Source organism: Homo sapiens, chromosome 4, assembly GCF_000001405.40.
Source record: "Homo sapiens chromosome 4, GRCh38.p14 Primary Assembly".
In the NCBI taxonomy this organism is placed as follows: domain Eukaryota; kingdom Metazoa; phylum Chordata; class Mammalia; order Primates; family Hominidae; genus Homo; species Homo sapiens.
In genome coordinates, this window is record NC_000004.12 from 152823267 (window position 1) to 152846851 (window position 23585).

Sequence of the window (23585 nt, forward strand, 5' to 3'; positions counted from 1 at the left end):
CTGTTATGCATACAAACTAGAAAATCTAGAGGGAATAGATACATTCCTGGAATCATACAACCCCTCAAGCTTGAATCAAGAAGAAATAGAAATCCTGAACACATCAATAGCAAGCAGTGAGATTGATTCAGTAATTTAAAAAAAATAAATAAAACTGCCAATTTTAAGAAGCCCACAGCCAGATGGAGACAGCTGAATTCTACCAGATATTCAAAGAAATGATACCAGTTCTGGCTGGGCACAGTGGTTTATGCCTGTAATCCCAGCCCTTTGGGAGGCCAAGGCAGAGATCACTTGAGGTCAGGAGTTCGAGACCAGCCCAGCCAACATGGTGAAACCCCGTCTCTACTAAAAATACAAAAATTAGCTGGGCTGTGGCATGTGCCTGTAGTCCCAGCTACTTGGGAGGCTGAGGCAGGAGAATCACTTGAACCCAGGAGGCGGAGGCTCCAGTGAGCCGAGATCACACCACTACACTCCAGCCTGGGCAACACAGCAAGTCTCCATCTCAAAAAAAAAAAAAAAAAAAAAAAAAAAAGAATTGGTACCAATTTTACTGAAATTTTTCCAAAAACTCGAGAAGGAGGGATTGCTCCCTAACTCATCTTATGGGGCCAGTATCACCCTGATGCCAAAACCAGGGAAGGACATAACAAAAAAGAAAACTACAGACCAATATACCTGATGAACATAGATGTGAAAATTCTTAACAAAATATTAGCAAACTGAATCCAATAGCACATCAAAAAAATAATTCCCCATGAGGCCAGGTGCAGTGTCTCCCGCCTGTAATCCTAGCACTTTGGGAGGCCAAGGCGGGTGGATCACTTGAGGCCAGGAGTTCCAGACCAGCCTGGCCAACATGGTGAAACCCCCTCTCTACTAAAAATACAAAAATTAGCTGGAAGTGTTGGTGCAGGCCTGTAATCCCAGCTACTCGGGAGGCTGAGGCAGGAGAATCACTTGAACCCAGGAGGCAGAGGTTGCAGGGAGCCTTGATCATGCCACTGCACTCCAGCCTGGGCGACAGAGCAAGACTCTTATCAAAAAAAAAAAAAAGTAAAAAGGTAATTCTCCATGATCGAGTGAATTTCTTTCCAGGGATTCAGAGATGGTTCAGCATATGCAAGTCAATAAATGTGATTCATCATATGAACAGAATTAAAAACAAAAATGGTATGATCATCTCAATAAATGCAGAAAAAGCATTTGATAAAATTCAGCATCCCTTTATGATAAAAACCCTCAACAAACTAGGCATAGAAGGAACATACCTCAAAATAAAGCCATATGTGACACACTCAACAGCCAGCATCATGCTGAACAAGGAGAAGCTGAAAGTATTCCCCCTAAGGACTGGAACAAGGGAAGCATGCCCGCTTTCACTGCTTCTATTCAACATATTATAGTACTAGAAGTCCTAACCAGAGGAATCAGGCAAAAGAAAGAAACAAAGGGCATCCAAATTGGAAAAGAGGAAGTCCGGTGATCTCTGTTTGCCAATGATTGGATACCTAGAAAACCCTAAGGACTCCTCCAGAAGACTCCTCAATCAGATAAATGAATTGAATAAAGTCTCAGTATACAAAATCAGTGTACACAAAATAGTAGCACTGCTATACACCAACAACAGCCAAGCAGAGAATCAACTCAGTAACTCAATTCCTTTTACAATTGATATATATATACACACACGCACACCACACATACATACACACACACACACATACATATACACACACACACTTAACCAAGGAGGCAAAAAATCTTCACAAGGAGAACTACAAAACACTGCTGAAAGAAATAATAGATGACACAAACGAATGAAAATACATTCCATAAGAATCTGTATTCTGAAAACGACCATACTGCCCAAAGAATCAGTGAAATTCCTATCAAAATATCAGCATAATTTTTCACAGAATTAGAAAAAAAAATCCTAAAATTCATATGGAACCAAAAAAGAGCCCAAATAGCCAAAATCCTAAGCAAAAGGAATAAATCTAGAGGCATCACATTACCCCACTTCAAACTATACTATAAGGCTATAGTAAACCAAAACAGTGTGGTACTGGCATAAAAGTAGGTACTTAGAATAATAGAACAGAATAGGGAACCCAGAAATAAAGCCAAATACAACCAACTGATCTTTGACAATGCATACAAAAGCAGAGTGGGGAAAGGACACACTATTCAATAAATGGTGCTGAGGAAATTGGATAACCATGTAGAAGAATGAAACTGGACCCTTGCCTGTCACCACATACAAAAATTAACTCAAGATGGATTAAAGACTTAAGATCTGAAACCATAAACATTCTGGAAGAAAACCTAGCAAAAACTCTTCTGGACATTGGCCTAGGCAAAGAATTTATGACTAAGACCCCAAAAGCAAATGCAAGAAAAACAAAGATAAATAAATGCAACTTAACTAAACAAAGCTTCTGCACAGCAAAAGAAATAATCATCAGAATAAACAGACAACCTACAGAATGGGAGAAAATATTTGCAAATTATGCATCTGACAGCCAATATCCAGAATCTTCAAGGAACAAGTAATTCCATTAAAAAGTGGGCAAATGACATGACCAGACATTTCTCAAAAGAAATACACAAATGGCCAACAAACATGAAAAAATGTTCAACATCACTAATCTTCAGGGAACTGCAAATTAAAACCACCGTGAGATACCACCTTACCCCACCCAGAATGGCCATGATTAAAAAGTCAAAAAGTAGATGTTGGCATGAATGTGGTGAAAAAGGAATGCTTATACGTTGCTGGTGATAAAACAGTATGTAGAGATCTCAAAGAAGTAAAAGTAGATCTACCATTTAACCCAGCATTCCCACTACTGGGTATCTACCCAAAGGAAAAAAAGTCACTATATCAAAACTGCACATAGGTGTATTGCAGCACAGTTCACAGTTGCAAAGATATGGAATCAACCTCAGTGCCCAACAACCAATGAGTAGATAAAGAAAATGGGGTTTATATATACCATGGAATACTACTTAACAAAAAAGAATGAAATAATATCTTGCAGTGACTTGGATAGAACCAATAATGGTAGGCCATTATTCTAAGTGAAACAACTCAGGAATCAAAAAACCAGATACCACATGTTCTCACTTATAAGTGGGGACTTAGCTGTGGGTACACGAAGCCACACAGAGTGGCATAATGGACATTGGAGACTCAGAAGAGGGGAGGGTGCTGGGGAGTGAGGGATAAAAAACTACCTATAGGGTACAATGTACACTACCGGGGTGACGGGTGAACTAAAACCTTAGACTTCCCTACTACGTACTTCATCCATGTAATCAAAAACCACTTGTACCCCTAAAGCTATTGAAATAAAAAATTTTATTTAAAAAATAGAATTACAGTATGATCTAGTAATACTACTTCTGGGTGTATATCCAAAAGAATTGAAAGCAGGATCTTGCAGGATCTTGCACACCCATGTTTGTAGCAGCACTGTTCACAATAGCTAAACGTTTGAAGCAACCCAAGTATCCATCACGGGATGAATGGATACATATATGTGGTATATACATACAAGAAAATATTACCCAGCCTTAAAATGGAAGAAAATTTTGACACATGCTACCACATGGATAAACCTTGAAGACATTATGTTAAGTGAAATAGCCAATCACGAAAAGATAAATACTGTACAATTCCACTTACCTAGAGTAGTCAAATTCATAGCAACAAGTAGGGTAGTGGTTGCCAGATTCTGTGGGGAGGTGGAAAATGGAGAGCAACTTAATGGGTTATACTGTTTCAATTTTATAAGATGAAAAAGTTTTGGAGATTGATTGCATAACAATGTGAATATACTTAACAGTACTGAACTATACACATAGGTTAAGATGGTAATTTTTATGTTACGTGTTTTTTACAATAATTTTTAAAAATAATCTAGGAACAATTCTTTCATAAGGTCATAATTTAGAAGCAGTGGCAGATTTAGACAGCATTATTACTATTTTTAATTATTTTCAAGAGCAGTTTTCACAGCAAAATTGAGAAGAAAGCACAGAGAGTTCCCCTGTACTGCCTGTTCCCATACATGCACAACTGTTGACATCCCTCGCTAGAGTGGTACATTCGTTAAAATTGATGACCCTACATTGACACATCATCACCCCAAGTTCGTACTTTACCTTAGGGTTCATTCTTGGTGTTGTACATTCTGTGGATTTTGACAAATGTATAATGACATGTATCCGCCACTGTAGTATACAGAAAAGTTTCTCTGCCTTAAAAACCCTCTGTGTTCAGCCTGTTCTTCCTTCCTCACTAACTTCTAGCACCCTCTTGTCTTTTTACTGCCTCTATAGTTTTACCCTTTCCAGAACATCATATAGTTGGAATCATACAGTATGTAGCCTTTTCAAATTGGGTTTTTTGTTTGTTTGAGACAGCATCTTGCTCTGTTGCCCAGGCTGGAGTACAGTGTTGTGATGTTGGCTCACAGCAGCCTCTACCTCCTGGGCTCAAATGATCCTCCCACCCCAGCCTCCCAAGTAGTTGGGACTACAGGAATGCACCAGCACACCCAGCTAATTTTTGTATTGTTTGTAGAGACGGGTTTCGCTATGTTCCCCAGGCTAGTCTCAAACTCCTGGGCTGAAGCAATCCACTGCCTCAGCCTCCCAAAATGTTGGGATTACAGACATGAACCACTGCACTTGGCCTAGGTTCTTTCATTTAGTAATTTGCATAAATTTCCTCCATGTCTTTTTGTGACTTAATAGCTTATTTACGTTTAGTGCTAAATAATCTTCCATTTATGTATGTACCACATTTTATCTGTTCACTGAAGGGTCTCTTGATTGCTTCCAAGTTTTGGCAATTATAAATTGTTATAAATAAATAAGGCTGCTGTAAACATCTGTGTGTAAATTTTTCTGTGGGTAAGTAAGTTTTCAGTTCATTTGGGCAAATACCAAAGAACACAATTGCTGAATCATATGTAAGAGTATGTTTAATTTTGCGAGAAACTACCAAACTCTGTTTCATAGTGGCTGTACCAGTTTGCATTCCTTCTAGCAGTGAGTGAGAGTTCCTGTTGCTTCACATCCTTGTCAGCATTTGGTGTTGTCAGTGTTACAGGATTTGGCCATTCTAATAATTTTGTTATAGTATCTCATTATTGTTTTAATTTGCAATTCCCTTATGACATATGATGTTGAACATCTTTTCATATGCTTACTAGCCACTTTACATTGTCTTTGATGAAACATCTGTTTTGATAAAACATCTGTTCTGATCTTTTGCCCATTTTTAGTTGGGTTGTTTTCTTAATGTTGAGTATTAAGAATTCTTTGTATATTTTAGATAACAGTCCTTTATCAGATGTGTTCTTTGCAAATACATTCTCCCAGTCCGTGGCTTGTCTTCTCAGTCCTTCATATGTTTTCTGTGGAGCAGAAATCTTAAATTTTAATGAAGTACAGCCTATCAGTTTTTTCTTTCATGGATTATGGCATTGGTGTCGTATCTAAGAAGTCATCACCATACCCACGGTCATCTAGGTTTTCTCCTATGCTCTCTTTATGAGCTTTATGGTTTGCATTTTGCACTTAGGTCTGTGATCCATTTTGAGTTAATTTTTATGAACAGTGTAAGATCTTTATGTGGATTCATTTTTTGCATGTGGATGTCCAGCACCATTATTCCAGCACCATTGTGGAAAATACAGTCTTTTCACCTTTGCATTGCCTTTCCACTTTGTCAGAGATCAGTTGACTACATTAATGTGGGTCTGTTTCTGGGCTCCCTGTTCCACTGACCTATTTGTCTGTTCTTTCACCAATACCACATTGTCTTGATTATTGTAGCTTTCCAGCTAGTCTTGAAGTCTGGTGATAGACACGGAATTATTTTGATAACACTTGTCAACTAAAGTTTGTGGATTTTTAAGCTAGTGATCTGTTACCAACCTAATTCTACTCTGCCCTGTGCTCTCATTTGTCTTCGCAGTACTCCAGTTGGAAAAATGGAGCTGCTGTAGTTGAATTAACAACCAAGCTTGGCTTTCTGTAATTTTTTTTTTCCAATTGTAAGTGGTGTTCTATCATAACACTATTTAAGAGGCAAGGATAGTGCCTCTGGTACCTACAACAAATATGTAACTCATTTTTAATTAAGAAGTTTAGGTTAAGTGAAGTTAAAGCAGCCAGATGGAATTTTAAAATTATATATGTATTCTGTTTATTATACAAGTATTTGGTAGGTTGCAATGATAAAAAATATTAAAACGGTGGCTTGTAAGTACTATAAACATGAATATAGTCTTTATGATTTGGTATTAGTTACGGCGCTTTTTTTCTTCTTTTGTTTTAGGAGTCTACCATGGCTCAAGAATCTCCCAAAAATTCAGCAGCAGAAATTCCAGTGACTAGTAATGGAGAAGTTGATGACTCTCGTGAACATAGCTTTAATAGGGTAAGAACACTTTTCTTTCTCTTAATGCAAAGAATCATGGTAAGTCTTTAAATGTTGAGATGAAAGTAATAGACAAAATTTAATATAGGATTGTTTTCTTAGATTGGCTTCAGTCAGGAATCTAATGTTATTATATAGGGATGACAAGGAAGGCCATTTTAGTAGTTTGTCAAGATTAAGCTCCAGGCCAGTAAACTATTAGGCTTTGGTTTATTTTCAGTAATTGATCAGCACAAAAGTATGTCTGATGATTTTGGTATCTAACTTTATAAGACTATTAATTCTGTTTGTAATAAAAAGATTATCCTTTTAAAATTGGCACTAATAACTTTTCTATATATATGTCATTTAGTACATAATTTCTAAATAGCCACTTCTGATTTTGCTGTTCATTTTCTAAAGTGCCATACTTGACTCAGTGGAAAATGATACTCGGGGTGCATTTAATTTTGATCTGTCTCTCAGTCGAAATTTAATTTTATTGCATTTTAATGGGAACACCATGGGTTTGAAGATAATCTGGGTTCAAATTTCAGCTATGCCACATTTCTAGCAGTATAACCTTGAGCCAGTTATTTATTTAATCTCTTCAGGTTTTTGTTTTCTAATCTCTACAATGAATATCTTATTTACTTTCATGAAGATATTAATATTAAATGAGATAATATGTCTAATATAGTCATAGAAATGATAGTGATGGTTATTATTTCTGGAGATACTTGCATTAAACATTCCTTTTTATGACATTTGATGCAAGTGTACAACTTTAAAAACAGAGTTTTCGTATTTTTGAAAAAGTAGTGGTTGAAATGTACTTAAATTATTATGTAGTTTAAATAGGACTCTTTACTCCATGTGTTTAAGAATAAAATCTTTTAGTTAGCAGAAGGTGATAACTTAAATCAGGATTTCTCAGTCTTAGCACTGTTGACATTTTGGGCCAAATTGTACTTTGTTGGGTGTATTGGCCTATACATTGTAGGATGGTTGGCACATTCCTGGCCTCTTCCTACTATTTAATAGATGCCAGTAGTACCCTGCAGTTATGACAAGCAGATATGTCCAGATATTGCTGAATGTCTCCAGGAGAGGGGACAAATTCCTCCTTGGTTGAGAATTACTGTTATAAATAGATCGGTTTAAATAATAGTAGAAGTGTCCACTGAATTTCATTTATTTTTGCATTAACAGTCTTTTGAAAAGAACTAGTATGTCTTCAAGCTCGAGGTTTATTTTAATGGCAAGTGCTTTAACTTGGTTTCTGAGCACTTGTGGTCCAATATAGAGTGACTCATAGAACCAAGAGACTTTTAAATTCTGAGCACACAAAAGAAATTTTCATTTCAGATTTTAGTCTTTCCAAGACACACCTGCATAATAAAGAAACTCAAGTTAGCATCATTAGACTATACCAATTACCTGATAAACTTTTACTAATTTTAATACTAATTATGCCAAGATTCAAGTTAATGATTTCTTCATCTTATTTTTGGTAACAGCTCTTTTTGCAAACTTACTATGCAAGTATTTACTGAATATCTGCTCTGTACCAGGTACTGGGGATATACAGTGAACAAAAATATCTGTCATCAGGTAGTTGATATTTTAAAAGACAATCTGATGAAAGCTGAGGACCTTTATCCAAGAGTAATGCAATACATAGAAAATGTTGCATTCATGGTTAGGGAAGTCACTTGCCATCTTAAGCCTATTTTTTTTCTTCTTCTTCTTTATTGAGGTATAGCTTCTACACAGCAGAAAGCACAAATGTTAAGTGTACCACTCAAGAGAACTACCGCTCAGATAAAGATGTAGAACATTTCCAGGACCTCAGAAGGCTTCCTTATGCCCTCTAGGCAATACAACTCATCCCATCCTGGGATAACCACATTAACCTAACTCTATAATCATAAATTGCTTTTGGCTGTTTCTGAAATACCTATCAGTGGAATCATACAGTGTGTACTCTTTTTCAACTGGCTTTCACTCAACATTATGTCTGTGAGATTCAGTCATATTGTTGCTTATAGCAGTTTTTCTATCTTTTTTTTTAAATTTTAAGTTCTGGGATACATATGCAGAACGTGCAGGTTTGTTACATAGGTATACATGTGCCATGGTGGTTCGCTGCACCTGTCAACCCATCATCTAGGTTTTAAGCCCTGCATGCATTAGGTATTTGTCCTAATGCTCTCCCTCCCTTTGCCCCCCACCCCCCGAGTATTTCAGTGTTTAAAATTGTAGTATAGTTTTCCAGTGTGTTAATATACCACAGTTTGTATATCCATTCTTCAGCTGATTGTTATCTAGGTTGTTTCCAGTTTATGATTATTATGAATAAAGCTGCTGTGACCATTCTTGTGCAGATTTTTTGGTGTACTTGATTATTTGTTTTTATTGAGTACATACCCAAGAGTGAAATTGCCAGGTCACGAGTATATGAATGTTTGGCAAATGGTTGGACCAGCTGGCAACACCAGCAATGAATGAGAGTTCTAGTTGTTCCACATCCTTACTAGCTCTTCATATTGTCATACATTTCAATTTTAGCCATTCTTTTAATGGTATCCCATTGTGGTTATAAAATGCTGTTCCCTGATGACTATGATGTTGAGCACATTTTCATATTCTTATTGACCATTGGAGATTGTCTTTTATAAAGTACTTTTCCAAGCCTTTTGCCCGTTTTTCTACTGGGTGTGTGTCTTTTTTTCTAATCTATTTGTAGGAGTTCTTTATATATTCTGGGTATATGCCATTTGTTTGGATGTATATATGCAAATATCTTCTTCCAGTCTATGTCTTGTTTTTGTACTCTATTAATGGCATCTTTTGATGAACAGAAGTTGTTAATTTTAATGAAGTCCAATTTCTCAGTGTTTCCTTCTGTAGTAATTTTTATGTCGCATTTAAGAAATCTTTGCCTACTTCAGTATCTTGAAGACACTTTGTTTCTTCTAAAAGTTGTGTTGTTTTGTTTTTCACACTATGGTCTGTGATTCATCTTGAATTAGTTTTTGTGTATGATGTGAAGTAGGGACCAAGATTTTTCTTCCTCTCATGTAAATATTCAATTGATCAGCACTGTTTTTTGAAAAGACTCTTCTTTCTATACATATGCAAAAAAATTAAATTGGATCTTTATCTTACACCATACACAAAACTAACTCAAAATAAATTAAAAGCCTAACTGTAAGACCTGAAATTATAAAACTTCTAGAAGAAAACATAGGGGAGAAGCTCCATGACATTGGTCTTGGCAATAATTTTTTGATATGATGTCAAAAGCACAGGCAACAAAAAAATAAACAAGTGGGACTACGTCAAACTAAAAACTTTCTGCACAGCAAAGGAAACAATCAACAAAATGAAAAGGCATCCTATGGAATGGGAGAAAATATTTGTAAACCATATATCTGATAAAGTGTTAATATCCAAAATATGTAAAGAACTCATACAAGTCAATAGCAGAAAAACAGCTCAATTTAAAACTGGGGATTTGAGTAGACATTTTTCAAAAAAAAAAAAAAAGTACAAATGGCCAACAGGTATGTGAAAAGGTGCTCAACATCACTAATCATCAGAGAAATGCTAATCAAAACCTCAGTGAGATATCAGTTCATACCTATTAGGATGACTATTATCAAAAAGTCCAAAGGTAAGTGTTGACCCTTATATACTGTTAGTGGAAATGTCAGTTGGTACATCTGTTGTGGAAAACAGTATGGCAATTTCTTAAAAAATTAAAGTAGAACGACCATAAGATCTAGCAGTTCCATTTCTGGGTATATATTCAAAGGAAATTAAATCACTGTCTTGAATAGTTATCTGTACTCCCATGTTCTTTGCAGCATTATAAACAATAGCCAAAATATGGAAATAACCTAAGTGTCTGTTAATGGATGAATGGATAAAGAAAATATATACATACACATACACCCACAGACAATGCGATATCATTCAAGCTCTATTAAAAAGGAAGAAATCCTACCATTTGTAACAGCATAGGTGAACCTGGAAGATATTAGGCTAAGTACAATAAGCCAGACACAGGAAGACAAATACGGCATGATTCTGTACTTACATGTGGAATCTTAAAGTTGAATTCATAGAAACAGATAGTAGATAGGTGATTATAGGGAGTATGTTAGTCTGTTTTTGAGTTGCTATAAAGAAATACCTGAGGCTAGGTAATTTATAAAGAAGAATTTTGTTTTGGCTCACAGTTCTGCAGGCTGTGCAGGAAGTATGATGCCAACATCTGCTCAGCTTCTGGTGGGGCCTCAGGGAGCTTTTACCCATGGTGGAAGGCAAAGCAGGCACATCACATGGTGAGAGAGGGAGCAAGAGAGAAAAGGTGGAGGTCCCAGACTCTTTTAAACAACCAGATCTTGTGTAAACTAACTGAGCAAGAACTCACCTATTACCAAGGGAGTGGTGTTAAACCATTCATGAGGAATCCGCCCCCATGATCCAGTCACTTCCCACAAGGCCCCACCTCTAACATTGGGAATCACATTTCAACATGGGATTTGGAGGGACAAACTTTGCCCCTAGCCCCCTAAATCTCTTGTTCTCACATTTCAAAATGTAGTCATGCCTTCACAGTAGTTTCCTAAAGTCTTAACTCATTCCAGTATTAACTCTCAAGTCTAAACTCTCAACTAGAGACGAATTTCTTCCACCTATGAGTGTGCGAGACCAAAAACAAGTTATTTACTCCCAAGATACAATGGTAGTACCGGTATTAGGTATACATTCCCATTCCAAAAGGGAGAATTTGGCCAAAAGAAGGGGAATAGGCCCCACACAAATCTGAAACCCAGCAGGGAAATCATTAAATCTTAAAGTTCCAAAACCATCTCCTTTACTCTGTGCTCTGCATCCTGGGCACACTGGTGCACGGGATGGGCACCTCAGGCTTTGGGCAGCTCTGCCCCAGCCTCCATGGCTGCTCTCACTGGTTGGAGTTGAGTGCCTGTGCCTTTTCCACACTGAGATTGCAAGCTGTTGGTGGTTCTACCATTCTCGGGTCTGGAGGGTGGTGGCTCCCTTCCCACAGCTCTCCTAGGCAGTGGCCCAGTAGGGACTCTGTGTGGGGGCTGCAGTTGCCAAACTTCTTTCAGTCTTGCATTCTCTGCACCTACAGGCTTAACACCACATGGAAGCTGCCAAGACATATGGCAGCTTATATTCTCCAAAGTGGCAGCTGGCACAGCTGGGATGTGGGGAGCAGTGTCCCAAGGTTGCACAGGGCAGCAGCATACTGGGTCTGGCCCACAAAACCATTCTTTTCTTCTAGGCCTCTGGTCTTGTGATAGGAGGGGCTGTCCCAAAGACTTCTGAAATGCCCTTTAAGGCCTTTTTCCCATTGTCTTGGATGTTAGCACATGGCTCCCCTTTAGTCACGCTAATCTCTCTAGCAAGTGGCTGCTCCACAGTCTGCTCGGATTCTTTCTCTACCACAGGGCCAGCCTGCAAATTTTCCAAACTTTTATGCTCTGCTTTCCTTTTAAATATAAGTTCCAACTTTAAGTCATTTATTTGCTCTCATATCCAATCTTAGGCTGTTAGAGGCAGCCAAGTCACCTCTTGAATGCTTTGCTGTTTAGAAATTTCTTCTGCCAGATAACCTAATTTGTCACTCTTAAGTTCAAACTTCCACAGATCCCTAGGACATGAATGCAGTGCAGCCAAGCTCTTTGCTAGGGTATACCATGGGTGACTTTTACTTCAGTTCCCATTCGCTTCCTCATTTCCATCTGAAACCTTGTCAGCCTGGACTTCACTGTCCATATTTCTATCAGCATTTTGGTCACAACCATTTAACCAGTCTCTAAGAGGTTCCAAATTTTCCTTCACCTTCCTGTCTTCTTCTGAGCCCTCTCAATTCTTCCAACCTCTGCTCATTACCCAGTTCCAGAGCTGCTTCCACATATTCAGGAACATTTATAGCAATACTTACTCCTCGGTATCAATTTTCTGTGTTAGTCCATACTTATGTTGCTATAAAGAAATACATGAAACTGGGTAATTTATAAAAAAAAGAGTTTTATTTGGCTCACAGTTCTGCAGGCAGTAAAGGAAGCGTGGTACCAACATCTGCTCCTGGTGAGGGCCTCAAGAAGTTTCCAATCATAAGTGGTAGGTAAAAGGGGAGCAGACACATCACATGGTGAGAGCAGGAGCAAGAGAGAAAGGGGAGGACCCAGAGTCTTTTAAACAACCAGATCTCATGTGGACTGGGTGAGAACTCATCACCAAGGGGATGGTCCTAAACCATTCATGAGGGATCTGCCCTCATGATCCAGTCACCTCCCTCCTAGCACCATCTCCAACATTGAGAATCACATTTCAGCATGAGATTTGGAGGAGACGAACATCCAAAACCATATGTTGAAGAGGTGCGGGAGGAAGATTTTGATAAAAGGATACAAACCTGCAGTTGACGGGTAAGTTCTGGAGATATAATATACAGCATGCTAACTATAGTTTATTGACTATGTGATGTTTTATATACTTGAAATGTGCTGAGAGTAGATCTTAAGTATTCTCACCCACACATACAAATAAAAATGATAACTGTGAAGTAATGGATATGCTCATCAGTTTGATTGGTAATCCTTTCATAGTATAAATGTAAATGGAAACCACGTTGTACACCTTACAATTAAATACAATTTTAATTGTCAATTATACCTCAATAAAGCTGGGAGAAAAAAAGACTATCCTTCCTCCACTGGGGGCTTTGTTTTCAGATGATTGTATATGTGTGGGTCTGTTTCTGGTATCTCTTTTCTTTCTTCTTTTTTTGGTCTGACCTTGAAGCAATAACACATTGTCTTATTTATTTACTACAGTAATTAAAACTGGAGTAAATGTCAGCTCCAATCTTGATACTGGTAGTTTATTTCTCCAGCTTTGTTCTTTGAGGTTGCCTTGCACATTAAACTCATTCATGAGTCTTAAGAACGTTTATTTGCCTTTGAGTAGCACTGAAACAAATTTTTTTCCCCTTCCTCTCAAATTTTAACTTTAGAATAAAAAGTTTTATTTTTTATTTTTATTTTTATTTTTCCGCAAGTTATTGAGGTACAGGTGGTATTTGGTTACATGAATAAGTTCTTTAGTGGTGATTTGTTAGATTTTGGTGCACCTGTCACCAAGCAGTATACACTGCACCATATTTTATCCCTTGTCCCCCTCCCACTCTTCCCCCCAAACCACTAAAGTCCATTGTATCATTCTTACGTCTTTGCATCCTCATAGCCTAGTTCCCACATAATCAGTGAGAACATACGATGTTTGGTTTCCATTCCTGAGTTACGTCATTTAGAATAGTAGTCTCCAATCTCATCCAGGTCACTCCAAATGCTGTTAATTCATTCCTCTTTATGCCTGTGTAATATTGCATCATATATATACACCACAGTTTCTTTATATACTCATTGATTGATAGGCATTTGGGTTGTTTCCATGATTTTGCTATTGTGAATTGTGCCACTATAAACATGTGTGTGCAAGTATCTTTTTTGCATGACTTCTTTTCCTCTGGCTAGATACCCAGGAGTGGGATTGCTGGATCAAATGATAGTTCTACTTTTAGTTCTTTAAGGAATCTCCACACTGTTTTCCACAGTGGCTGTACTAGTTTACATTCCCACTAGCAGTGGAGAAGTGTTTCCTGTTCACCGCATCCACACCAACATGTACTGGTTTTTGATTTTTCGATCATGGCCATTCTTGCAGGAGTGAGGTGATATTGCGTTGTGGTTTTGATTTGCATTTTCCTGATCATTTAGTGATGTTGAGCATTTTTTCATATGTTTGTTGGCCATTTGTATATCTTCTTTTGAGAATTGTCTATTCATATCTTTAACCTACTTTTTGATGGGATTATTTGGTTTTTTCTTACTAATTTGTTTGAGTTCATTGTAGACTCTGGATATTAGTCCTTTGTCAGATGTATAGATTGTGAAGATTTTGTCCCACTCTGTGGGTTGTCTGTTTACTCTGCTGACTTCCTTTTGCCATGCAAAAGCTCTTTAGTTTAATTAGGTCCCAGCTATTTATCTTTGTTTTTATTGCATTTGCTTTTGGGTTCTTGGTCATGAAATCCTTGCCTAAGCCAGTGTCCAGAAGGGTTTTTCCAATGTTATCTTCTAGAATTTTTATAGTTTCAGGTCTTAGGTTTAAGTCCTTAATCCATCTTGCGTTGATTTTTGTATAAGGTGAGAGATGAGAATCCAGTTTCATTCTCCTACAAGTGACTAGCCAATTATCCCAGCACCATTTGTTGAAAAGGGTGCCCTTTCCCCACTTTATGTTATTGTTTGCTTTGTCAAAGATCAGTTGGCTGTAAGTATTTAGGTTTATTTCTGGGTTCTCTATTCTGTTCCATTGGTCTACATGCCTATCTTTATACCAGTACCACACTGTTTTGGTGATGGCTTATAGTATAGTTTGAAATCAGGTAATGTGATGCCTCCAGATGTGTTGTTTTTGTTTAGTCTTCCTTTGGCTGTGTGGGCTCTTTTTTGGTTCCATATGAATTTTAGAATTGTTTTTTCTAATTCCGTGAAGAATGATGGTGGCATTTTGATGGTGACTGCATTGACTTTGTAGATTGCTTTTGGCAGTATGGTCATTTTCACAATATTGATTCTACCCATCCATGAGTATGGGATGTGTTTCCATTTGTTTGTATCATCTGTGATTTCTTTCAGCAGTGTTTTGCAGTTTTCTTTGTAGAGGTCTTTTGACTCCTTCATTAAGTATATTCCGAAGTATTTTTTTATTATTATTTTTTGCAGCTATTGTAAAAGGGGCTGAGTTCTTGATTTGATTCTCTTCTTGGTCACTGTTGGGCTATAGAAGAGCTACTGATTTGCCTAGATTCATCTTGTATCTGGAAACTTTGCTGAATCCTTTGATCAGTTCTAGGAGCTTTCTGGAGGAGTCCTTAGGGTTTTCGAGGTAAACAATCATATCATCAGCAAACAGTGACAGTCTGATTTCCTCTTTACCAATTTGGATGTCCTTATTTCTTTCTCTTGTCTGATTGCTCTGGCTAGGACTTCCAGTACTATGTTGAAGAGGAGTGGTGAGAGTGGGCATCCTTGTCTTGTTCCCATTCTCAGAGAGAATGCTTTCAACTTTTCCCCATTCAGTATTATGTTGGCTGTGGGGTTTCTCATAGTTGGCTTTTATTACATTAAGGTATGTCCCTTGTATGCTGATTTTGCTGAGAGTTTTAATCATAAAGTGATGCTGGATTTTGTCAAATGCTTTTTCGGCATCTATTGAGATGATTGTTTAACTTTTGTTTTTAATTCCGTTTATGTGGTTTATCACATTTATTGACTTGTATATGTTAAACCACCCCTGCATCTCTGGTATGAAACCCACTTGATCATGGTGGATTATCATTTTGATATGTTGTTGAATTTGATTAGCTAATATTTTGTTAAGGATTTTAGCATCAATGTTCATCAAGGTATCAGTCTGTAGTTTTCTTTTTTGATTATGTCCTTTCCTGGTTTTGGTATTAGGGTGATGCTGGCTTCATAAAATGAATTAGGGAGGGTTCCTTCTTTCTCTCTCTTATGGAATAGTGTCAAAAGGATTGGTACCAATTCTGTGTTGAATTTCTGGTATAATTCTGCTGTGAATCTCTCTGGTCCTGGACTTTTTTTGTTGGTAATTTTAAAATTACCATTTCAGTCTCACTGCTTGTTATTGATCTGCTCGGGGTATCAAATTCTTCCTGATTTAAGCTAGGAAGGTTGTATTTTTCCAGAAATGTATCCACCTCTTCTAGATTTTCTAGTTTATGTGTGTAAAGGTGTTCATAGTAGCCTTGAGTGACCTTTTGTTTGTCAGTGGTGTCAGTTGTAATATCCCCTGTTTCATTTCTTTGTGAGGTTATTTGAATTTTCTCTCTTCTTTTCTTGGTTAATCTTGCTAATGGTCTATCAATTTTATTTATCTTTCAAATAACCACCTTTTTGTTTCATTTATCATTTGTATTTTTTTGTTGTTGTTTGTTTCAATTTCATTTAGTTCTGCTCTGATCTTGGTAATTTCCTTTCTTCTGCTGGGTTTGGGTTTGGTTTGTTCTTGTTTCTCTAGTTCCTTGAGGTGTGACCTTAGAATGTCAGTTTGTGCTGTTTCAGTTTTTTTGATGTAGGCGTTTAGCACCTCTTTGCACTTCTTAGCACCACCTTGCTGTTTCCCAGAGGTTTTGATAGGTTAATTTCCACCTTGTTTTCATTTTTGAGCCAGTGCTCATTCAGAAGCAGGTTATTAATTTCCATGTATTTGCATGGTATCAAAGGTTCCTTTTGGAGTTGATATCCAGTTTTATTCCACTGTGGTCTGAAAGAGTGCTTGATATAATTTCAATTTCCTTAAGTTTATTGAGGTTCGTTTTGTAGCCTATCATATGGTCTATCTTAGAGAAATTTCCACGCGCTGTTGAATAGAATGTGTATTCTGTGGTGGTTGGATGAAATGTTCTATATGTATCTGTTAAGTCCATTTGTTCCAAGGTATAGTTTAAATCCATTGTTTCTTTGTTGACCTTCTATCTTGATGACCTGTCTAGTGCTGTCAGTGGAGTATTGAAATCCCCCACTATTATTGTGTTGCTGTCTATCTCATTTCTTAGGTCTATTAGTAATTGTTCTATAAATTTGGGAGCTCCAGTGTTAGGTGCATATTTGTGTAGGATTGTGATATTTTCCTGCTAGACAAGGCCTTTTACCATTATATAATGTCCCTGTTTGTCTCTTTTAATTGCTGTTGCTTTAAAATTTGTTTTGTCTGATGTAAGAATAGCTATCCCTGCTCGCTTTTTGTGTGCATTGGCATAAAATGCCTTTTACCACTCCTTTAAGTTTATCTGAGTCCTTATGTGTTAGGTGAGTCTCCTGAAGGCAGCAGATGGTTGGTTGATGAGTTCTTATCCATTCTGTGGCTCTGTATCTTTTTTTTTTTTTTTTTTTTTTGAGACAGCGTCTCGCTCTTGTTGCCCAGGGTGGAGTGCAATGGCGCAATCTCGGCTCACTGCAGCTTCCACCTCCTGGGTTCAGGTGATTCTCCTACCTCAGCCTCCGGAGTAGCTGGGATTACAAGGCACCCACCACCACGCCCAGCTATTTTTTGTATTTTTGGTAGAGACAGGGTTTCACCGTGTTGGCCAGGTTGGTCACCAACTCCTGACCTCAGGTGATCCACCCGCCTCGACCTCCGAAAGTGCTGGGATTATAGTCGTGAGCCACTGCACCCAGTCAGTTCTGTATCTTCTGTATCTTTTTTTTTTAAGATGGAGTCTCGCCTCGCTCTGTTGCCAGGCTAGAGTGCAGTGGCGTGATCTCGGCTCACTGCAACCTCCACCTCCCGGGTTCAAGTGATTCTTCTGCCTCAGCCTCCCGAGTAGCTGGGATTACAAGCACGTGCCACCATGCCCAGCTAATTTTTGTATTTTTAGTAGAGATGGAGTTTCACCATGTCGGCCAGGATGGTCTCAATCTCCTGACCTCGTGATCCGCCCCCCTCAGCCTCCCAAAATGCTGGGATTACAGGCATGAGCCACCGTGCCAGGCCAGTTCTGTATCTTTTAAGTAGAGCATTTAGACCATTTGTATTCAATGTTAGTATTGAAATGTGAGGTACGGTTGCATTCATTGTGCTCTTTGTTGCCTGTGTACTTTTGTTTTTTGTTTTTGCTTTTTAATGTGTATTTTTGTTTTATAGGACCTGTATGATTTATGCTTTAAAGAGGTTCTGTTTTGATGTGTTTCCAGTATTTGTTTGAAGATTTAGAGCCCCTTTCAGCAGTTTTTGTGGTGGTGGTTTGGTAATGGCTGATTCTCTCAGCATTTGTCAGAAAACGACTGTATCTTTCCTTCATATATGATACTTAGTTTCACTGGATACAAAATTATTGGCTGATAATTGTTTTGCTTGAGGAGGCGAAAGATAGGGCCCCAATCCATTCTAGCTTGTAGGGTTTCTGCTGAGAAATCTGCTGTTGATCTGATAGGTTTTCCTTTATAGGTAACCTTGTGCTTCTGTCTCACAACTGTTAAGATTCTTTCTACCTCTGGACCAGCCTGCTAGCCCACATGCTCCGATGTTAATGACATCGAAGGCACCCGTCTCGAGGAAATCTCAACTGCACAACCCCTACTACACCCCAATTCAGCAGGAAGCAGTTAGAGCGGTCGTCAGCCAACCTCCCCAGCAGCACTTGGGTTTTCCTGTTGAGAGCGGGGACTGAGAGACAGGACTAGCTGGATTTCCTAGGCTGACTAAGAATCCCTAAGCCTAGCTGGGAAGGTGACCGCGTCTACCTTTAAACACGGGGCTTGCAACTTAGCTCACACCCAACCAATCAGATAGTAAAGAGAGCTCACTAAAATGCTAATTAGGCAAAAACAGGAGGTAGAGAAATAGCCAATCATCTATCGCCTGAGAGCACAGCAGGAGGGACAATGATCCGGATATAAACCCAAGCATTCGAGCCAGCAATGGCTACCCTCTTTGTGTCCCCTCCCTTTGTATGGGAGCTCTATTTTCACTCTATTAAATCTTGCAACTGAAAAAAAAAAAAAAAAGATTCTTTCTTCATCTTAACTTTGGATAACCCGATGACATTGTGCCTAGGATCTTTTTGCAATGAATTTTCCAGGTGTTGCTTGTGCTTCTTGTATTTGGATGTCTAAGTCTCTAGCAAGGCAGGGGAGGTTTTCCTTGATTATTCCTCTGAATATGTTTTCCAAGCTTTTAGAATTCTCCTCTTCCTCAGGAACACTGATTATTCTTAGGTTTGGTTGTTTAACATAATCCCAGACTTCTTGGAGGCTTTGTTCATATTTTCTTATTCTTTTTTCTTTGTCTTTGTTGGATTGGGTTAATTCGAAGACCTTGCCTTCGAGCTCGGAATTTCTTTCTTCTACTTGTTCAATTCTGTTGCTGAGAATTTCCAGAGCATTTTGGATTTCTAAAAGTGTTTCCATAAAAGTTTCCTGAATTTTTTATTGTTTTTCCTTTATACTATCTATTTCCTTGAATATTTCTCCCTTCATTTCTTATGTCTTTTTTTTTGGATTTCCTTGCATTGGTCTTCGCATTTCTCTGGTCCCTCCCTGGTTAGCTTAATAACTAACCTCCTGAATTCTTTTTCAGATAAATCAGGGATTGTTGGTTTGGATCTGTTGCTGGTGAACTTGTGTGATTTTTTGGGGGGATGTTGAAGAGCCTTGTTTTGTCATATTACCAGGGTTGGTTTCCTGGTTCCTTCTCATTTGGGTAGGCTCTGTCAGAGGGAAGGTCTAGGGCTGAAGGCTGTCGTTCAGATTTTTTTTGTCCTATGGGGTGTTCGCTTGATGTAGTAGTCTCCCCATTTTCCTATGGATGTGGCTTCCTGTGAACCAAACTACAGTGATTTTTGTCTTTCTTCTGGGTCTAGCCACCCAGAGAGTGTATCTGGCTCCAGGATGGTACTGGGGGTTATCTGCACAGAGTCCTGTGATGTGAACCATCTGTGGGTCTCTCAGCCATGGATTCCAGCACCTATTCCATTGGAGGTGGCAGAGGGTGCAATGGACTCCATGAGGGTCCTTAGCTTTGGTGGTTTAATGCTCTGTTTTTGTGCTGATTGGCCTCCTGCCAGGAGATGGTGCTTTCCAGAAAGCATCAGCTGTAGTAATGTGGAGAGGGACTGGTGGTGGGCACTGCCCTAGAACTCCCAGGAGTATACGCATTTGTCTTCAGCTACCAGGGTGGGTAGGGAGGGACCATCAGGTAGGGGCAGGGCTAGTTGTGTTTGAGCTCAAACTATCCCTGGGCGAGTCTTGCTGCAGCTGCTCTGGGGGATGGGGGTGAGATTCCCAGGTCACAGGAGTTGTGTACCTAGGAGGATTATGGCTGCCTCTGCTGAGTCACACAGGTTGTCAGGGAAGTGGGGGAAAGCCGGCAGTCACAGGCCTCACGCAGCTCGCACGCAAACTGAAGGGCTGTTCTCACTTCCACTGTGCCCCCACCAACAGCCCTGAGTCTGTTTCAAGGCAGAGAGCGTGATAGGCTTGAAAACCTGACCCAGGCTACCCACCTTCCAGCTGCGAAAGAAAAGGGCTTGGTTCTTGCATGGCCTGTGGAGTCTGCACACGGGATTTGTGCCCTCCCCTGACTTGTGGCCAGGAGGCTTCTACCACCGTTCAAATTGTTACAAAGTTCAGCTGGAGATTTCCTTCTCACTGTGGAGTTTTACCCCCTGCTCCTCTGGTCACCCTCCTGATGGATCCCTGTGGTACCAGGCAGGAATGGCCTGCTAGGGGACCCAGCGAGCTCCCAGGGCCTTTCTGCTGCTTCGTGTACCACTGTATTTCTCTTGGCTCTCTAAACTTGACTCAGCTTTAGGTAAAATCAGAAACTTCTCCCACGAACAGACCTTCAGCCTCTCCAGTGGGAGTGTGTTTGGGAGAGGAGGCTCTCCCTTTCCCACTTCCGTAGTTGGGGCACTCACAGTACTTGAGGTGTCTCCTGGGTCCTCCGGGAGCAGTCCGCTTCCTTCAGAGGGTCTGTGGGTCCTCTCGGGATTGCTGATTTGTTCTTGCAGTCAATCTGGAGCTAAAATTTACAATGAAAAGTTTTATTAGAATGAAGTGAATTAAACTGCAACATATCAGTATGAGTTATTTGCTTATTCAAAGCCAATAATTTCCTCCTTTGTGAATTGATTGATTGATTTAAATTAAATTCTCTTTTTAAAGATTCCCTTGCAATTATTTTACTTCCTATTGGAAGGCAGAAAAGGAAAACATAGGTTGTCTTGGTGGTCTCTCCTTATTGAATATGAACCTTATCAGTGGGCAAGCCTCCATAGAAGCAATAACCTATTTCACCTCCTTAAAGAAATTCAACATAATACAAATTAATTATTTCTGTTTGTACCTGCTGTTATTAAAAATAAACACATCAGATGACACAAACTAATAGGAAAACCTTCCATGTTCATGGTTTGAAAGAATCAATACCATTAAAATAGCCATACTGCCTAAAGCAGTCTACAGATTCAGTGCTTTTCTATTAAACTGCCAGTATCATTTTTTCACAGAACTAGAAAAAACTATCCTAAAATTCATATAGAACCAAAAAAAGAGTCCAAATAGCCAAAGGAATCCTAAGCAAAAAGAACAAGGCTGGAGGCATCACATTTTGCAACTTCAAACTATAAGGCTATAGTAACCAAAACATCATGGTACTGGTACAAAAACAGGCACATTGACCAATGAAACAGAATAGAGAACCCAGAAATAAAGCATCACACCTGTAGCCATCTGATTATTGACAAAGTCAACAAAAATAAGCAATGAGGAAAGGACTTTCTATTCAATAAATGGTGATGGAATAAATGGATAATCATGTGCAGAAGAATGAAACTGGACTGCTATCTTTCACCGTATATAAAAAATTACTTCAGATGGATTAAAGATTTAAAGATAAGACCTCAAAGTATAAAAATCCTACAAGAAAACCTAGGAAACACCATCTGGCCATTGACCTTGGGAAATAATTTATGAATAAATCCTCAAAAGAAATGGCAACAAAAACAAAATTGACAAGTAGGACCTAATTAAAGAGTTTCTGCATAGCAAAAGAAACTACCAACACAGTAAACAGACAGCCTACAGAATGGGAGAAAATATTTGCAGACTATGCATCTGACAAAGGTATAATATCCAGAATTTATAAGGAACTTAAACAATTGAACAAGCAAAAAACAACCCCATTAAACAAATGGGCAAAAGACATGAATAGACGCTTTTCAAAAGAAGACATACAAGTAGCCAACAAACATATGAAAAAATGCTCATCACTAATCATCAGAGAAATGCAAATCAAAACCACAATGAGATGCCATCTCACACCAGTCAGAATGGCTTTTATTAAAAAGACAAAAAATAACATACTGGCAAGGCTGCAGAGAAAAAGGGAACACTTATACACTGTTGATGGGAATGTAAATTAGTTCAACCACTGTGGAAAGCAGTTTGGAGATTTCCCAAGGAACTTAAAACTACCATCAGACCCAGCAATCCCATGACTGGGTATATATCCAAGAGAAAATAAATCATTCTACCAAAAAGACACATGCACTTGTATGTTCATCAGAGTGCTATTGACAGTCACAGAGTCATACAATCAATCTAGGTACCCATCAATGGTGGATTGGGTAAAGAAAATGTGGTAGATATACATCATTAAATACTGTGCAGCCATAAAAAAGAACAACATTATGTCTTTTGCAGGAACATGGATGCAACTGGAGGCCATCCACCTGTTTTTGTTGCTGCTGAATTAACACAGGAACAGAAAACCAAATACCATATATTCTCACTTATAAGTGCTAGCTAAACACTGGATACTCATGGACATAAAGATGGCAAGAATAGAAACTGGGAACGACTAGAGTAGGGAGGGAGAGAAGGGGGCAAAGGGTGAAAAACTATTGAATACTATGCTCAGTACCTGGGTGACAGTATCAATGGTACCCCAAACCTCAGCATAATGCAATGTATCTGAGTAACAAACCTGCACATGTAACCCCTGAATCTGAAATAAAAGTTGAAATTAAACGCACACACACGCACACACACACACAAAGAGCATATGAGTCATTTACATATTTAATAGTTTTGAATTAAAATAAAACTCAGCCATGTGCTCTCTTAACCCGTGAGTGAAAACAGTATTTCAGAAGCATCATTTGACTATTTTGAATAAATTCCCTCAAGATCTTTTAAGCATCTGTTTACCTCAATTTTGGCTTACTTTTCCCCATTTATTTTTCTGAGGAATAAATAGGAAAATTGCATTTAACTCCAAATTCATTTTTCTATTTTAATAGAGATAAAATTTTATAGAGAAAATAAGTATATTAATATATTTTATAGACTAGTGAAGAGATCTCATATGTAAAACTGAATCATAACCAAAGTTTTCTGAGGTACTTTACTTATATACATGTTTCTTTTATACTTGTTTAAAATCTTATAATGGCTTTTGTTGAATGCATAATGCACTTTTAAAAGTTTAGTCTGTTACATAAAATAAAAGT

The 23585-nt window shown here is 38.5% G+C and overlaps 1 protein-coding gene across 6 annotated transcripts in view, besides 3 other annotated features; it reads left to right on the forward strand.

Annotated features, from left to right (window-relative positions):
* ARFIP1 (ARF interacting protein 1) overlaps window positions 1–23585 on the forward strand; it is a 132404-nt gene that overhangs the window by 43313 nt on the left and 65506 nt on the right. For all 6 annotated transcript variants that reach the window (NM_001287432.2, NM_001025595.3, NM_001025593.3 and 3 more), the window contains one exon: window positions 6359–6460. In NM_001287432.2, coding sequence (NP_001274361.1) covers window positions 6368–6460 — 93 coding nt within the window. In that variant the 5' untranslated portion in view covers window positions 6359–6367. The remainder of the gene's footprint in view (window positions 1–6358; window positions 6461–23585) is intronic.
* Window positions 11457–11957: an enhancer, noted in NCBI's record as "H3K27ac hESC enhancer chr4:153755875-153756375 (GRCh37/hg19 assembly coordinates)". NCBI's record gives its function as "activates a minimal SCP1, AML or CMV promoter by ChIP-STARR-seq in naive and primed H9 embryonic stem cells {active_cell/tissue: H9 hESC(naive and primed)}" and the evidence as "EXISTENCE:reporter gene assay evidence [ECO:0000049][PMID:30033119]".
* Window positions 19887–21086: an enhancer, noted in NCBI's record as "MED14-independent group 3 enhancer chr4:153764305-153765504 (GRCh37/hg19 assembly coordinates)". NCBI's record gives its function as "activates an origin of replication core promoter dependent on BRD2, BRD4, P300/CBP and CDK7 cofactors, and independent of MED14, by STARR-seq in HCT116 cells {active_cell/tissue: HCT116}" and the evidence as "EXISTENCE:reporter gene assay evidence [ECO:0000049][PMID:35650434]".
* Window positions 19976–20583: an enhancer, noted in NCBI's record as "H3K27ac-H3K4me1 hESC enhancer chr4:153764394-153765001 (GRCh37/hg19 assembly coordinates)". NCBI's record gives its function as "activates a minimal SCP1, AML or CMV promoter by ChIP-STARR-seq in primed H9 embryonic stem cells {active_cell/tissue: H9 hESC(primed)}" and the evidence as "EXISTENCE:reporter gene assay evidence [ECO:0000049][PMID:30033119]".